The sequence below is a fragment of the Homo sapiens genome, chromosome 9 (genome assembly GCF_000001405.40).
Source record: "Homo sapiens chromosome 9, GRCh38.p14 Primary Assembly".
Classification (NCBI taxonomy): domain Eukaryota; kingdom Metazoa; phylum Chordata; class Mammalia; order Primates; family Hominidae; genus Homo; species Homo sapiens.
Window position 1 is genome coordinate 37,062,383 of NC_000009.12, and position 16,084 is coordinate 37,078,466.

The 16,084-nt window shown below is 41.7% G+C and overlaps 1 annotated feature.

Moving 5' to 3' along the window:
• Positions 46-246: a silencer, noted in NCBI's record as "peak7233 fragment used in MPRA reporter construct". NCBI's record gives its function as "represses an SCP1 promoter by STARR-seq MPRAs in K562 erythroleukemia cells {active_cell/tissue: K562}" and the evidence as "EXISTENCE:reporter gene assay evidence [ECO:0000049][PMID:32103011]".

Genomic DNA, 16,084 nt, shown 5'->3' on the forward strand with positions numbered 1-16,084 from the left:
AAGATACCTACAGAGCAGGAGCTCAAGTAAGTATCTGTTAAATGACCAAACGAATGAGGGCCAAGGAAGCTCTAAAGTTGAGGTCTCAAGGGCCTGGATACAAAGACGGTGTGGTGAAGACCGGGAGGCTGGATCAGTCCTGTTCTCACTCTTGCTTAATCAAAGAAGGCATATCTTCCTGCTGAGAAAGAGGAACTTAGCATTGGAAGGGAATTTGAAGGTTCTGTAGCTCTCAGGAAGAATCAGTTTCTAATTCTGACACATACTGCAACCTGGATGAACCTTTTTTATTTTTTCAGACAGGACCTTGCAAGTTGGTACCACTTGCATTCCAGGCTAAAATGCAAGTGGTATAAACACAGCTCAATGCAGCCTCGACTTCCTAGGCGCAAGTGATCCTCCCACCTCAGCCTCCCAAGTAGCTGGGACAACAGGCACACATCACCATGTCTGGCTAATTTGTATAGTTTTTGTAGAGACGAAGTCTCGGACATTGCCCAGGCTGGACTCAAACTCTGCCCCAAGTGATCCTCCTGCGTTAGCCCCCCAAAGTGTTGGGATTACAGGCATGAGCCACCTCACCTAGCCCTGGATAAACCTTGAAGACATTATGCTAAATGAAATAAGTCAGACACAAAAGGACAAATACGGTCGGGCCCAGTAGTGCACGCCTGTAATGCTGATGGCACGTGCCTGTATTCCCAACTACTTGGGAGTGTGAAGTGGGAGGATCACTTGAGCCTGGGAGGTGGAGGTTGCAGTGAGCTGAGATCATGCCACTGTACTCCAGCCTGGGTGGCAGAGCCAGACCCTGTCTCAAAAAAAATAAAAAGGACAAATATTGTGTGATTCCACTTATATAACATACCCAGAACTGTCAAATTCTTAGAGCTGGAAAGTAGAATGGTGGTTGCCAGGGACCAAGGAAAGAGGGGAATGGGGAATTATTGCTTTCTGGGTACAGAGTTTCAGTTTGGGAAGACGAAAAAGCTCTGCAGATGGATGGTAGTGATGGTTGTATAACGATGTCAATGTATTTAATGCCACTCAACTATACTGTTAAAAATTATTAAATTGGTATAATTTTTTTTTTTTTTGAGACAGGGTCTCTGACTCTGTCACCCAGGCTGGAGTGCTGTAGGGCGATCATAGCACACTGCAGCCTCAACCTTCCAGGCTCAATCAATTCTCCCACCTCAGCCCCGCAAGTAGCTGAGACTATAGGAACATGCCCCAACACCAGGATAATTTTTTTTTTTTTTTTTTTGAGATGGAGTCTCCCTCTGTCACCCAGGCTGGAGTGCAGTGGCATGATCTCGGCTCATTGCAACCTCCACCTCCCAGGTTCGAGCAATTCTCCTGCCTCAGCCTCCCAAGTAGCTGGGACTACAGGCACGCACCACCACACCTGGCTAATTTTTATATTTTCAGTAGAGATGGGGTTTAGACATGTTGGTCAGGCTGGTCTCAAACTCGTGACCTCAAGTGATCTGCCCGCCTCGACCTCCCAAAGTGCTGGGATTACAGTCATGAGCCACCATGCCCAGCCTATTTTACCACAATTTTTTAAAAAGGAGAATCACTCTTTCTCAAAAGAAAAAAGGAAAAAAAAAAAAAAAAAAAAAAGGAGAATCAGTCCCTGGATCTGAGGACCTGAGTCTAGGGGATCAGAGGAGGAGGGTGGGGGTGAAAATAGAGCAGTGATGGGACTTCTCTTATGAATGGCCTCTCTGCCTTCCTCCCTCCCTTTTCCCTCCAATACTGGCTGGGCCATGTGCTATTTTGGGGGCAAATGCATGTCCTTGTGTGCACTCAGAGATGAATAAGACGGAGCACCTGCCCTGGAGGAGTCAGTGGTACAAATAAGTCAGGGAGGAAGTATGTAAGCCAATTTCACAGATGGAATGATAAGTAAAATTATACGTCATGACCCTAAATCTTCCCATTCTCCTCCTTTCCCCTCTGACCTCAGTGCATGCTTCTGAGTCTCCATAAGAGGAAACTGCACAATATTCCTTGAATCAAGGTTAGATGAGAAGATTTAATAGCATTAGGAGAAATGTCTGGGTCCAATTATGGAGCTTTAAATGCAGCCTTTATATTTCACACTTGGAATCAAGGTTACTGAATTCTCTAGATGTTTTCAAATAAGCCAAACTATCGCACAGATAACAGGAGAGTAATTGGAAATGGACCGAGAGAGACCTTGAGCATAAGCAATCTGAGGAAACAGTTTAAACAAGCCCACAGTATCCTTTGCAGAAGATCTATTAGCGATGGATGCATACGTCGAAGAATCTTAGAATTGGGGAGCTTAACGGGACCTGCCTTGGCAATTATGAAGTCTGTTTCCTCATTTTACGGATGAGGAAACTGAAGGGCACAGAGAGAAAGTGGCTTGAAAGTTCACACAGGAAAATTATGTCATACCTGGCACAATAATCCTGTCCTTTGACTTTTAGTTGAGGGCTCTTGATTTTTCTGCTCACCTGTTGCTTTGCTTCAATAAAATGTTGTAAAGTTTCCTTTATAAGTACAATTTTCTCTTCTAATACTGGAATGAGTCAGAGAGGGAGAAGTAAGTCCTTGCAAATGATAAATATATACTGCTATGGGTTGAATTGTGTCACCCCAAATGATATGGTGAAGTCCTAAACCCTAATATCTCAGAATGTGACCTTATTTGGCTGGGCGTGGTGGCTCATACCTGTAATTCTGGCACGTTGGGAGGCCCAGGTAGGCAGATTGCCTGAGCTCAGGAGTTGGAGACCAGACTGGGCAACATGGTGAAACTGTCTCTACTAAAAACACAAAAAATTATCTTTAGCTGCTCTGGAGGCTGAGGCACATGAATCGCTTGAACCCAGGAGGTGGAAGTTACAGTGAGCTGAGATTGCACCACTGCACTCCAGCCTGGGTGACAGAGCGAGACTCTGTCTCCAAAAAAAAAAAAAAAAAAAAAAGTGACCTTATTTGGAAACCAGCGTCATTGGAGATATCAGTTAAGATATGATGGGTTCTTAATTCAGTATGACTAATGGCCTTATAGGAGGAAGAAGGAGACATGCAGGGAGAAGATGTAGCCATGTGATGACAGAGGCAGAGGTTGGAGTGATGCATCTACAAACCAAGGATTGCCAAGAACCTACAGAAGCCAGGAAGAGGCAGGGAGGGCTCTTCCTTAAAGCCATCAGAGAGCATGGACCTGCCAATGTCTTGATCTCAGACTTCTAGCCTCCAAAACTGTGAGAAAAGAAATTCTTGCTGTTAAAACAAGTTAAAAAAAGTCACCCCATTTTTTTCATAATTTGTTATGGGAAGCCCTAGGAAATGAATACAGTACATAAATGTTGCCAGCATGTGAGTTTCCTTGGGCCAAAAGAAGTGGGTTTCATCAGGCCTTGGGGTAGAGGCAGTTAGGAAACAAAAGTTGGACTGGGCTCGAATATTTGGTAGCAATAAGCCCCAAAGTTCAAGCAGCCAGCGTGTCCTAATCAGATTCTAATCTGGGATACTAACAATGGATGATGAGCAGAATCAGAAGCAAAGGTGGAGGAAATATTTGTCTTCCCATTTGAAGAAGTTGCAGTTCCAAATCTTCGATTCAGCAACTCTGATTGGGATACGAAGTTTTACGGTTTATGCAAGTTGCATCTCTCAGGTACACATAGCTGACATAAAAAGCAGCAAGTTCTCTTCCTTGTTCCCACTAAACTCCTCCTACCCCATAGCCAGTCACAGACTTCTATATGATCCAAAGCCAGAAAAGATTATAAGGTGGTTGTTAAAACCTCACTCACTTTGGAGTGTTGCTGGACCACTGCAGGCTGATGGCAGTCCAGAAAGATGTGTCCATTTACTCAGTGTTAAGTCTTTGAATTAGAGTCTCTGCAGGAAACAGGTGTACATTCTAAATGAGGAACTGAGGAAGGTTTCATGAAGGGACCGTTTACAGAGGGGTGGGCAGTGCTAGGGAAGACAACAAGGTATGGTACCCTAGGGCTAGCCATTGCAGGGAGCATTCACCTGTTAGTTACACCTAAAAGGGCAAGGAAGGGAGGGAGTGGCTGTATGAAGAAGGGGACCTGACAGGAACTGTGGTCTTTTGTAGAGGAACACAATCAACTCATGCAGACGCAGCAGAGAGGGAGCCAGCACACTAACGGTGTGACTTCATTCCCCTCCTGTCCTCCTAAATTTAGCTCATGCTGCCTATTGTCCAACCCCAACCAAAGACTGAAAGACAAGGAAGCTCTTCATACTTACTGGTGATAGACTGAAAGCTTTCCACCTAACAGCAGAAACAATATAAGGATGCCTGCTTTCATCACTGCTACTCAATATGGTACTGGGAATCCTAGCAGTTTGGGAAGAAAAAGTAAAACACTTTCATCATTTGAAATCACAATAGTCATCCAAACTGGAAAGGAAGAAATATTTATAGTTGTAGAAGACAGGATTCTACATATAGAAAATCCCAAGGAATACACAAAAGATCTATGAGACCTAGTAAGTGAATTTAGCAAAGTTGCAGGGTACAAGATGAGCTCACAAAAACCAGTGGTGTTTATATACATTATCAAAAAACGATCCTAAAAAAAAAAATTCCAGAAGAATAAAATACAATTCTTAGGAATAAATTTAACCAAGGAAGAAAGACTTGTACACTGAAAGTTATAAAACTTCTGAATAAAATTTAAAAAGACCTAATTTAATGTAATGAAATTCCATTGTTATATATCAGAAAACTTATGGCAATACTCCTAAAATGATCTACGGATTCAATGGAATCCCTATCAAAACTCCAATGGCCATTTTTGCAAAAACGGAAAGATTGATCCTGAAATTTATAGGAAATTGCGTGGGGCCCCAAATAGCCAAAACAATGTTGAAAAAGAGAAACAAAGTTGGAGAACTCCCACTTTCTGATTTCTTTCTTTCTTTCTTTTTTTAAGAGATGGAGTCTTGCTCTGTCACCCAGGCTGGAGTGCAGTGGCGTGATCTTAGCTCACTGCAACCTCTGCCTCCCGGGTTCAAGCAATTCTCCTGCCTCAGCCTCCTGAGTAGCTGGAACTACAGGTGCACATTGCTGCTCCTGGCTAATTTTTTGCATTTTAGTAGAGACAGGGTTTACTACAAAACTACAGTAATCAAAGCAGTGTGATACCATCATAAGGATGGACATATAGACCAACAGAATAAAGTTGAGAGTCCAGAAATGAACCCAAACACCTATGGTCACCTGATTTTCAACAAGCGTGCCAAGAACATTCAATGGGGGAATAAACAGTCTCTTCAAAATAGTGCTGGGAGAACTGGAAAACTACATGCCAAAGAATGAAGTTGGATCCCTACCTCACTTCATATACAAAGAGTAACTTGAAATGGATCAATGACCTAAATACCAGAGCTGAAAGTATAAAACTACATTAGAAGAAAACATAGGGGTAAATCTTTATGAGTTTGGATTTGGCAATGGATTCTTAAAAGACCCCAAAGCACAAGCAACAAAAGAAAAAATAGATCAATTAGATTTCACAAAAATTAAAACTTTTGCAAATTAAAGGATATTATCAATAAAGTGAAAAGGCAACCTACAGAATGGGAGGGAATATTTACAAACCTTATCTCATAAGGGTTTAGTGTCCAGAATATATAAAGAATGCTTACAATTTGAAACAAAAATACAAACAATTTGCAAATGGGTAGTGAGGCCAGGCATGGTGGCTCTTGCCTGTAATCCCAGCACTTTGGGATGCCAAGGCAGGTGGATCACCTGAGGCCAGGAGTTCAAGACCAGCCTGGCCAACATGGTGACACCCCATCTCTATTAAAAATACAAAACTTAGCCAGGCATGGTGGCGCCTGCTTGTGATCCCAGCTACTGGGGAGGCTGAGGCAGGAGAATCACTTAAACCAGGAATTAAACGGAGGTTGCAGTGAGCTGAGGTCATGCCACTGCACTCCGGCCTGGGCGACAGAGTCAGACCTGTCCCCTGCCACCCCGCCCCCAGAAAAAGAATGAAGCACTGATACACGCTACAACTTGGATGAACCTCAAACATTTTTGTGTTACGTAAAAGGAGCCAGACACAAAAAGTTACATATTGTATGATTCCTTATACACGACGTACCTTGAATAGGCAAATCCCTTGAGACAGAAAGCAGACTCCTGGTTGTCAGAGAATGAGGAAGGGGAGATGGGGAGTTATTACTTAAAGCCTATAGAATATTCTTCTGGGGGTGATGAAAAAGTTTTGAAACCAGAGAGAGGTGGTGGTGGTTGTATTAGGTTGGTGCAAAAGTAACTGCGGTTTTTGTCAAAACTTTTAATTACTTTTAATGGCAACTACTTTGCGCCAACTTAATGCAACATAGTGAATGCACTAAATGCTGCTGAACTGTACACTTTTAAATGATTAATGGGGCAGGGCTCCGTGGTTCCTGCCTGTAATCCCAGCGCTTAGGGAGGCTAAGGAAGTGGGGGATCACTTGACGCCAGAAGTTTAAGACTAGTGTGGGCAACCTAGCAAGACCTAGTCTCTACAGAAAATTTAAAAATTAGCTGGGGGTGGTGGGGTATGCCTGTAGTCCCAGCTACTCGGGACGCTGAGGTAAGAGGACTGCTTGAGCCCAGGAGTTAAAGGTTACAGTGAGTTATGATTTTGCAACTGCACTCCAGTCTAGGCAATGGACAAGACCCTGTCTCTTTAAAAAAAAAAAAAAATAGCTGGGCGCGGTGGCTCACGCCTGTAAGCGCAGCACTTTGGGAGGCTGAGGCGGGCAGATCACAAGGCCAAGAGATCGAGACCATCCTGGCCAAAATGGTGAAACCCCAACTCTACTGAAAATACAAAAATTAGCTGGGTGTGGTGGCACATGTCTGTACTCCCAGCCACTTGGGAGGCTGAGATAGGAGAATTGCTTGAACCCGGGAGGCAGAGGTTGCAGTGAGCCAAGACTGCGCCACTGCACTCCAGCCTGGCGACAGAGTGAGACTCCATCTCAAAAAAAAAAAAAAAAAAAAAAAGCTGCGTGCAGTGGCTAACACCTGTAATCCCAGCACTCTGGGAGGCAGAGGCAGGCAGATCACCTGAGGTCAGGAGTTCGAGACCAGCCTGGCCAACATGGCAAAACCCCGTCTCTACTAAAAATACAAAAATTAGCTGGGTGTGGTGGCAGGTGCCTGCAGTACCAGTTACACAGGAGGCTGAGGCAGGAGAATCACTAGAACCTGGGAGCTGGAGGTTCCAGTGAGCCGAGATTGCACCACTGCACTCCAGCCTGGGCAGGCGACAGAGGGAGACTCTGTCTCAAAAAAAAAAAAAAAGAAAGAAAGAAAGAAAGAAAGAAAGAAAGAAAGAAATGCAGAACTATATTCTGTCTATGTGACATGCACTTTATGTAAAGACAAGTTGAAAGTAAAAGGATCAAAAACAATGTACTATGCAAATAGTTACAAAGGCTGCAGAGACTATACTAATATCAGATAAAGTAGATGTCAAGAAGACAGTATTACAAAGATAAAGAAGGACTTTTCTTAACGAAAAATGATTCATCCATGTAAGTGTATGTTTTTAATAACAACTTCAAAATAGCTGAAGCAAAAATGGTCTCAAATAAATTGAGAAACATGTAAGTTTTCCATTATGGTTGTGCCACATGTTATTTAATCTATTCCTGATTGATGGACATTTAATTTGTTTCTGATTTTTTTTTTACTATTGCCACAATGAATATATTTGTGCATGTGTACATATATCTATATCTATATCTATCTATACTTATGTAGTAGTGTCTACTTAGGAAAGATTCCTAGAATGGATTTGCTGGGTCAAAGGTCATTGTGTCATTTGATTAACATTTTATCAAAATCGTATTTTGATTCAGTACAGCCAAATTCTTCTTCTAAAAGACTTCATCAATTTACCCTCCTACCAACAGTGTATGAGTGTACATTTCTTTTGTTGTTGTTCTAACACTGTTTTCCCATCGCTCCTCGGCTAGAAATCAAAATTTCTCGCATGCATTCAAAGCCCCACAGTCTGGCCCCTCCTTATGTCGCCAGGCCCTCCAGTGCTCCTACTCCCCTCTACTCTCGTCTCCAGCCCCAGTGACATTTCAGTCTCTATTGATTTGCTCCAGGACCTTTGCACCTGCTGTTTCCTCTGCCTGAAATACTTTACCCTTGATGCTTCTTTCAGTTTATTCCTACTTATCCTTCAGATATCATGTCCCGACTTTGTAGAAGCCTTCTCTAACCTTCCTGAATAAGTCAATATCTCCATTGTAGTTTCTCACAGAGCCTCTCATATATAGCATTTATCTAAGATACAATTTTGCATTTGTTTTATTTATTTATTTATTTATTTATTTGTTTGAATACTTTTTTGTAGAGACATGGTCCCTATGTTTATGAGGCTAGTCTCAATCTCTTGGCCTTAAGCAATCCTCCTGGCTCAGCCTCCCACAAGTGAGCCACCATGCCTGGCCTGCACTGGTTTTCTTTCCTTCTTTCTTTTATTTTTGAGACAGGGTCTCACTCTGTTGCCCAGGCTGGAGTGCAGTGGCATGATCATAGCTTACTGCAGCCTGGACTTCCTGGGCTCAGGTGATTCTCCTGCCTCAGCCACCCAAGTAGATGGGAATACAAGTGCCCATGAGCAGGCCCAGCTAATGTTTTGTATTTTTTGGTAGAGATGAGGATTTGCCATATTGCCCAGGCTGATCTCAAACTCCTGGGCTCAAGGGATCCTCCTGCCTCGGCCTCCCAAATTGCTGGGATTACAGGTATGAGCCACCCTGCCCGGCCGTTCACTAACTGAGCTTTCTTACCAGTCTGGAGCTTTCTTTGGCTAATATTCAGATAGGTAGATTCTCTCTGTGCCAAGAAACCAACATAGATGATAATAAAACCTCTCTCACTATTTCCACGCAGCTGAGCGTAGGCACAGAAAAGAGAAAGTTCCAGGGGGTAAGTTCTGAGAGCAACGGCATAGCACAATGAGAAAAAAGCCATTCTCTGGAGGGAGACATCAAACATTCTGAAGAAACTGTGTGGCAGTTCCAGGATTTTAACAGATCTGTCCATAGCAAGTAAGAACAGGGATTGCTAGAGCCATGCAGATAGAGTTGTTGAAGACTGTACAGGAAACAGGAAGTTTGAGGTATTGGGGATAGGGAGACAGAAACTTCTGCAATTAATAGGTGTGATATAAGAAATACAACACCCATATGCAGACTCGTCAGTCAACCATAGAAGAATATCAGATCCCGAAGGGAGGCAGAGGAAGAGGATATCACAGAGACAGTCCTTTTAAAGCCCCATATTGCTAATGGTTTCACCAGTTGAGTAAGAAACAATGGATAATAATGGTTGAAACACAAAGTATCACGTCTATAGTTTATCATATATAATTGTGCTTAAGTTGACTGTAGTCAACTGTGGCTCACATGACAGAATGATCTTAGTTATTTTCAATTAGTTTCTTTTGTGGTTAATCTAAAGTCCCAAGTAAAATAATTCATGGTAGCATTGCCGCAAAGACATGTCGAAACTGAAAACTGTAGACATAATTCCCGGGTCCGGGACGGGCAGCTGAAGAGAGCAGCCCCTCTATAGATGACACCTAAATAAGCCCTGTTTGAGCATGCGTGATCCTTCATGTCTCATAATCTGTGGATCCAGGGCTCATGGACATTTAAAAGAAAGGCATGCCTTTTTAGGCAGCTTCTCCACATGTTACTGATGACATGCTTCAAGATTTCTTGTGCAGAATCTGATGATTCTTAAATTAGAATCCCAATAGTTTTGCCAGTCAGTATTCATTATATAGTCACTTAGAGCTAAGCCTTGAGGAATAAAATTCCAACTAGGAATAATAATAAAAAACGGGAATGGTGCCCTTGCAATACTAGTTCCTTATCCCTAGGATTTTATTGTAATGAGAATATTATCATGTATGTAGTTTAATTTATAATATATATTTTTAAATTTCATTATTTCATAAGGAAAGGCGGTCTCCAAGAAAAATTAAAAGCCATCTCTATGAATTTCCACATTTTCAAGAACGATTTCATAGGCTGGTTGAAAATTGTGTGCTCTCTCCATCACTTTGCAATTTGAAGAACTGCAAAATCATGAATAATACAAAAGGATGTTAAACTTTTCAACAAATCCAGATGGGTACCAATGTCATTGAGAATTCCTGAGAATCACCTTGATTGCTGCTTCAGACCTAGGAGCCTGAATTGAATATCACTTACCAGTTGGAAGCTATTGGCTTAAGTGACAACAGTTTCTACAATAACATTGGTATCTATATTGTTTACTTTTAAAATTGTACAGACACTAAGTTTGTGCAAATAAAAAACATCCAAACTTTAACATTCAGTCACTTCCCTTGCTAGCCTTCTATTTCTTCTCCCTTATCATTTAGACGTTGGTGCAAATAGAAAGAGTGATGGATTGTGAAATGTAGGCCAGTTTTTTCTTTTGAGACGGAGTTTCGATCTTGTTGCCCAGGCTGGAGTGCAGTGGCACAATCTCGGCTCACTGCAACCTCCACCTCCTGGGTTCAAGCGATTCTCCTGCCTTAGCCTCCCCAGTAGCTGGGATTACAGGCGTGTGCCACCACACCTGGCTAATTTTTGTGTTTTTAGTAGAGACAGGGTTTCACCTTGTTGGGCAGGCTGGTCTCAAACTCCTGATCTCAGGTGATCCACCCTCCTAGGCCTCCCAAAGTGCTGGGATTATAGGTGTGAGCCACCACACCCGGCCTGCAGGCCAGTTTTAACACTAACCTTTGCTGGGGCCTTGCAAATCTCTTCATTTTGCATCTTAGTTGTCCCTTCTGCAAAATGAGAGAGTTGGACTAGATGTCCCTTTCAGCCATGATTCTAGGGCTTCCATTGTTCCACACAGTCACTGGATGAAGAGACACTGCCAATGCAAAGACTGAGCCGCCATGAGAACTCATGTTATGTCTTGCAACTCTTGAGGCTGGGTATAATGTAGGCCTAAAGTCTTTACTTCCAATCTTAGGTAGCAGGGAAATGTGTCCATTTGTGGGTTATGCTGCTCATCATACGTCTAATCCCCGTCTCCCCACACCATGCTAGTCCTGGATATTCAGAGTCAGGGCTTGTTTGTCAACACAGAAGACTCGCACACTTGTGATGCTTTTGCTTATCCTGTTCCTTTGCCAGAAGATCCCCCTGCTTCTCTACCTAGCAAACTCTCATTCATTCTTTTAATTTTGTCTTTTAATTTTATATTTTGACATAATTTCACATTTGGAGAAAAATTGCAAAATCTGTACAAAGAATCCTCATATACCTTTACGCAGATCCCCAAAATGTTAACTTTTTACCACACTCCTCTGTCTCTCTCTCCCTCTAGCTCCCAGAATTTTTTTTCTGAGCCACTTAAGCATCAGTTTCAGACATGATGCCCCTTTACTCCAGGTAGTTCAGTGTGCTCGACCTGAAAAATAAAACCAAGACATTCTCTTACATAACCACAATGTAAATATAAAAATTGGGGAAATAATGTTAATGCAGTACTGTCCTCTAACCTAGATCTGGATGTTGCCAATTGTTCCTTTAATGCGGTACAGTTCCTCGGTCTTTCTTTGCATTTCCTGCCACTGACAGTTTTGAAGAGATAAGTCCAGTATTTTTAGAGTGTACCTCATGGTTATATTCAAGTTACGCACTTTTGATGTGAATGCCATAGAAGTAATGTGCTGTTTTTCTCAATGAATCACATCTCACTTTTTAAAGTGAAAGTCATTCTTCAATCTCCTCCATTCCTACTCCCCTCCTAAGAGGTAAATAACCACTGTTAACGATTGGTATTCATCTAGTATTTTGTCTATGCACTTATATACACACATATCTATACACAGGCACACTTGTACCCTTTAAAAACATAATAAAATGAGAACACTATATCCTTACTGCTCTGCAATTTACCTTTTTTCATTTAAGTGTACGTCTTTGGCAATCTTTCCATGTCAGTGCATGCAGATTCCCTTTATTCTTTTAAAAATGGCATATATATATGTATATATATGCCACATATGTGTATATATATATACACACACATATATATACATATATATACATATATATACATATGCCACATATGTGTGTGCATATATATATATATATATATATATATATACACATATATATATATATATATTTTTTTTTTTCCCCTAGAGACTGCCTCTGGCTATGTTGCCCAGGCTTGTCTCAAACTCCTGGGCTCAGGCAATCTGCCCTCCTCAGCCTCCCAAAGTGTTAGGATTACAGGTGTGAGCCACTGTGCCCAGCCAAACGTGGCATAATATTTTTAAATGGTATAAATGTGTTCTTGTTTAGTTTGTTCCCTACTAATGAATATTTCCATTTTTTCTATCACAATGTTTGTACACACATTTAAGAACATACCTCATTTATAATTGTGATAGATGCTATTAAATAGCTCTCCTAACACACTTTTCCAGTTTGTATTCTCATCTACTGTGCATGAGATAATTTGCATTTTTCTGACTGTTAGTGATGCAGAGCACCTATTCACGGCCTTTGGGTTTCCTGTTCTGTGAATTGCCTGTTAGTGGTCTTTGCTGTGAGAATGCTGAATTGTCCGTCTTTGTCTGACTACTTATTTCTCCAGGCCTCACTCATTTCTGTTCCTCTGCAGAGGCTTCTCCACGTCCCCTAATCAGCCACTACCCCCTCCTCTGCTGTCCCACAACACTGTTCACACCGTGCCCAGGCCTTCATTTACCAACCATTCCATAAAAAATCTACTCATTCCAAAAGTGTCCACTGTGAGCCTTCTCTGTGCTTGGCCTTGGGCTAGGTGCTGGGTGGAGAGACATGAGCCAGTCATCATAGACTCCATGCTAAAGTTCAGTTTTGATATGCAGCTTTGAGCATAGAAAAGAGCATGAGTTTTAGATCTAGACATAACTTGAGTTGAATTCCAGCTTCACCACTTCCCAGCTGTGTAATTCAGAGCAAGTCACTTGATTACTCCAAGTCTCCATTTCCATACTAGTGAGGTGAGGCTAATCCCTCCCTAAGAGAGTCACTTGAAGCTGGACAAGAGACAATATATCTGAAGTGGTTAGCAAGGGCCTGTTACACAGTAGGCTTGCAGTAAATGAATGGTAGTTGAAAGGCAACTGTTAAGAGGTCAAAATCAGTTAGTTCTCAGAGGTTCTAGGAGCCACCAATAAACTGGAAAATAAAAAGGAAGGAGGTAGCTCCTCTCTTTGCAATGCAAAGGATATGGATGAGTGCCGCTTGCCCAGATCCTGCTACAGAATATCTTTCCTGCTCTCTGCAGCAGATTTCTGCTTTGTCCTGGCCCCTCATCCCAATTCAGCTGCGCATTGTTGTCCTACTACCACTGCCGTGGGAAGAACAGGTGCTTCCCTTCTCAAATAAATGTTGGTCTCTTTAGAAAATACTCTGTAAGAAAGACTTCAGGATATTTGTGCATGCTGTCACCCATGATTTCAAGAAGTAGGGGCTGGGCACTGTGGTTCACACTGAGGCGGGAGGACTGCTTGAGACAGGAATTCAAGACCAGCCTGGTTAACACGGCGAGATCCCATCTCTACAAAATGTTTATAGTTTTAAATTAGCCAGGTGCAGTGTGGTGATGCACGCCTGTAGTCCCAGCTTCCTGGGAGGCTCAGGTGGGAAGATCTCTTGAGCCCAGGAGGTTGAGGTGCCAGTGAGCTGTGTTTACACCACTGCACTCCAGCCTGAGTGACAGAGTGAGATACTGTGTCGAAAAAAAAAAAAAAAAGAAAAGAAAAGAAAAGAAAAAAAGGAGAAATGGGGAGTAGAGACAGCTTCAATTAGAAAGAGAAATGCTGTGTATGTGGAGAGAGGCTGAGGTGGAAAGTTTCCCTGAAGACCCAAAACTGCCGCAGAGTAGGGTGAGTGGGTATATGTTAGAAGGACAGGGAGAAGGGCTTTACAGGCAGTGGAGTGTTCTCTGCAAAGGCACAGGTGTGGGAGGGCATGGTGTGTTCTGGCAACTGCTCAGGATTCAGTGTCAACGGTAGGCAGATGTCAGCTCATGAAGTGCCTTTTATGCCATCCAAAGGACTCTAGGTTTGAAGACATAAACTAAACGGGGAGGCTGAAGCATTCTGAGCATGGGAAAGTAGGAAATCTTTGTTGAATGCATGTGTGACAGTGGGAAGACGGGACATGGTAATTAGGAGTACAGTCATGTGTCATTAAAGACTGGGATATGTTCTGAGAAATGCGTCATTAGCCAACTTCATCGTTGTATAAACATTGAGTGTATTTACAGAAACCTAGATGGTATAGTCAACTACACATCTAGGCTATATGGTAGAGCATAGTGCTCCTAGGCTAGAAAACTGCATGTTACTGTACTGAATGCTATAGGTGATTGTAACACAATGGTAAGTATTTGTGTATCTAAACATGAAAAAGGTAAAATAAAAATATGATAAAATAACCTTACGGGGCCACTGTAGTATGTGCAGTCTGTTTTTGACTGGAACGTTATTAAGCAGCACATGACTATATGTCCTAAGCTTATGGCCTTCTATAAGTGTTACTTAGTCTTTCTACATCTGTTCCTTTTTTTCTTTCTTTTTTTTTTTTTTTTTTTTGTGAAATGAGAATTTAAAAAAATCAACTTGAAAGTGTTGGCCAGGCTCTGTGGCTCACACCTGTAATCCCAGCACTTTGGGAGGAAGAGGCAGGAGGATTGCTTGAGCCAAGGAGAGCAGAAGTTCAAGACCAGCCTGGGCAACACGGGGATACCACATCTCTATGAAAAGAAAAAGAAAAAGTAGCAGGTCATAGTAGTGTGAGCTTGCAGTCCCAGCTACTTGAGAGGCTGAGGTGGGAGCATCACTTGACTAGAAGGTAGGTTACAGTGAGATGTTATAGCGCCACTGTACTCCAGCCTGGGTGACAGAGCAAGACTCCATCTCAAAAAAAAAAAAAAAAAAAAAAAAATATATATATATATATATATATATATATATATATATATAACCCATAAAGTGTTGTTGAAATTTAAAATATTATATATAATAGATAGACAGGAGTAATACAGGCACTTAATAAAAGCTGAATATTTTTTAAAAGGTGACATTTGTTTTACACAATACACATTACCTAAACAAACAATCATTAATCTGTGAGCTGCTTCTATGCTTCTTTCCTTATCTGCAAAGTGGTTCTCCAATTTTACCCTTTCATAGTACCCTGTCCTCCTTCCCAGCACTTACCATAATGTTAATTAATGTTCTAATTCTTTTCTAGCCAAACCCTTAGACTTTAACTGTTTTCCCAGGCAAACTCCTGGCTCTGTGAGACCAGTCGCTTAAAAATGTAGTACTTATCTGCACTCTCTAACACCACCCGTCTCTTAACCCATGTTCAATAAATGTTGGTGAAAAAAATCAAAGTCACACTTATCTTGAGGAGAATTTAGAGGGGCCAATGAACTGGCAAAGTGTTTCATTATGACAGGAGAAAAATAGAGCAGTCTACGCTATATTAAAAGTATGCAACAATTTATTTTATTTTAATCTTTTTTACATTCCTGGTAACTCACAGAACAAAACAATTTATTTGTATTTGTATTTACTAATTTAAGAAATAGAGATGGGGTCTCACTATGTTGCCCAGGCTGGTCTTGAACTCCTGGACTCAAGTGATCCTCCCACCTCACCCTCCCAAAGTGCTGGGATTACAGCCATGAGCCACCGTGCCCAGTCCCCCATTTTTTTTTAATTAAAGTTATGGGGTCTCTTATCCAGGCTGGAGTGCAGTGGTGTAATCACAGCTCACAGTGACCTTGAACTTCCAGGCTCAAGCAATCCTCCCGCCCCAGCCTCCTGAGTAACTAGAGCTACAGGCGTGCCCCATCACACCTAGCTAATATTTAAAATTTGAATTATTTAAAAATTTTAATTTTTATTTAATTTTTATAAAAAGATTTTATAAAAAGGAGATTTATTCTTTATCTTATTTTTTGAGACAGGATCTCAGTCTGTCACCCAGGATGGAG